Source organism: Homo sapiens, chromosome 10 (genome assembly GCF_000001405.40).
Source record: "Homo sapiens chromosome 10, GRCh38.p14 Primary Assembly".
In the NCBI taxonomy this organism is placed as follows: Eukaryota; Metazoa; Chordata; class Mammalia; order Primates; family Hominidae; genus Homo; species Homo sapiens.
The window spans coordinates 100,641,035-100,643,347 of NC_000010.11; the positions used below are offsets into that span (position 1 = coordinate 100,641,035).

General features: G+C 50.2%; 1 annotated feature.

Moving 5' to 3' along the window:
* Window positions 1,160-1,789: an enhancer, noted in NCBI's record as "NANOG-H3K4me1 hESC enhancer chr10:102401951-102402580 (GRCh37/hg19 assembly coordinates)". NCBI's record gives its function as "activates a minimal SCP1, AML or CMV promoter by ChIP-STARR-seq in naive H9 embryonic stem cells {active_cell/tissue: H9 hESC(naive)}" and the evidence as "EXISTENCE:reporter gene assay evidence [ECO:0000049][PMID:30033119]".

The following is a 2,313-nucleotide window of genomic DNA, read 5'->3' on the forward strand; positions in this document are numbered from 1 at the left end:
TGCAGTGGCCCACACCTGTAATCCCAGCACTTTGCAAGTCTGAGGCGGGTGGATCAGGTGAGGCCAGGAATTTGAGACCAGGCTGGGAAATATGGTGAAACCCATCTCTACTAAAAATACAAAAAATTAGCCAGACATGGTGGCACATGCCTGTAATCCCAGCTACTCAGGAGGCTGAGACAGGAGAATCGCTTGAACCTGGGAAATGGAGGCTGCAGTGAGCTGAGTTCATGCCATTGCACTCCAGCCTGGGTGACAGAGTGAGGCTCCATCTTAAAGGAAAAGAAAAAAATCAAATTATCAGAGGACCATGCTCCCTCAGTCTTTAGGGGAGGACCCTTCCTTGTCTCTTCCGGCTTCTAGTAGCCCCAGACATTCCTACACTTGTGGCAGCATCACTCCCATCTCTGCCTCTGTCCTCACATGGCTGTCTTCTCTCTGTGTCTGTGTGTCTGTGCCTTTGCATGACACCAGTGTCCTTATAAGGACACCAGTCATATTGGATTAAGAGCCCACCCTATGTCAGTAGGACCTCATCTTAGCCTGCATCAGAATTACATCTTCAAAGCCCCTGTTTCCAGAAAAGTGATGTTCACAGGTACCAGAGGTTAGGTCTTCAACAAATTGGGAGCGGGAGTACACAATTCAACCCATCATCAGAGCTGTGTTTGGACAGGTAGATTTAGTAGGGGTCATGGAGCAAGCCACACCCTAGAGATAGGTGTCGAGGAAACCACTCAGTAGGTAAGAAATGAGAGGACCTGATTTGGGCCAGTGGCAATGAGGACAAAGATATTCCAGGACCTGACAGTTGATTGGATGAGGAGGAAGTGAGGAAACCATAACACGTGTCAAGGACATGGGCTTTGGGGGCAAAACAAGTAGATGATTCAGAGGCTCTATAATTGGAAAGATGAAAGGAGGAAGGAATGAGGAGGAAGGTGAGGGGAGGGGAGCCTCATAGACTCTAAGCTCTCTGAGGGCAGGGACTGCATCCTTCACTTGGTATCCTCAGTGCCTGGCACAGTGTCTGGACATAATATGTGCTGGAGAAATGTTTGCCAAAGAAATGAACGTGTTCAGTCTTGCACATGGGGAAATTGATGTACCAGCTGAAACAGGCAGGTGGAAATTTAGGCTTGTCATTTGGGAGATAGAGTTGGGGGTTAGAAATCTCAACTGGGTATTTATTTCCAGAGAGATGATGGGTCAAGTTGGGTTTGACAGTGCTTGTGAAAGGGCAGAGAGGGGAGGGAAGAGGTTTGAGGGAAGAATGGTTAGGCAGAGTTAAATTTAGGGGTTGGGAGAAAGCAGAGGGCTGTGGAAGGCCAGATCAGGAACTTCAGAGATGGAGGAGGGGAAGCAGGGAGGTGCAATGTCATGGAAATCAAGAAAGGAGACAGTTTCAAGGAGGAGGGGTGGAGCTGCTGCCAAATGCCGCAGAGGTCGAAGAGAAGAAATACCAAGAGGAGCCTGTGGATTTGCTAATTAGGAGACCGGCAGCAGTGGCCCCACCTGGTTAGGGCAGGGGGATGTGAGGGGAGGCTACTCTGGGCAAAGAACCCAAGGACAGGAATATGTGCTTTCTGTGTGTGCACGCGCTCTCCACTCTGTCCTCCTTCGTGGACCTGGGAAATCTGTGACAATCAAGAGTAAAAACCAAAACAAAAACACGGTGGTGGGATGGGGGTGGTATGCATGTCAGAACTCAGAGTTTGCAAGTCAGGAAATGAATAACATGGGGGTGGAAGAGACAGCTCAGAGAAAGGGGGAGTAGTTTTTAGTGCCAGGCGAATCTTCTTTGAGGGTGGAGAGTGGAAAGCAGCAATGGCCCAGGCAGATGACAAAACAATGCCCAGCCCAGCCCAGCCCTCCGCAGACCTCCCAGGTCTGTTGCACCTGCCCTGCAGTGGGGGTGGGTGAGGGGCATGAGGCCTTCTCCTCAGTCCTTTAGTCCCCTGGAGCCCCCGTGACTGTCAGTCTGGGTTATCACTGTGTCCCCAGGGCCTGCACTAGTGCCTGGGACGTAGAAGGTACTCAGTAAATACTCAGGATTGGAAATAGCAACATCACCAGGAGCAGCTAAGATCACTTATGAGATGATAAATGTTGTTGTTATTGTTGTTGTTTTGAGATGGAGTCTCACTCTGTTGCCCAGGCTGGAGTGCAGTGGTGCAATCTCAGCTCACTGCAACCTCCACCTCCTGGGTTCAAGTGATTCTCCTGCCTCAGCCTCCCGGGTAGCTGGGATTACAGGCATGCGCCACCTATGCCCGGCTAATTTCTGTATTTTTAGTAGAGACAGGGTTTTGC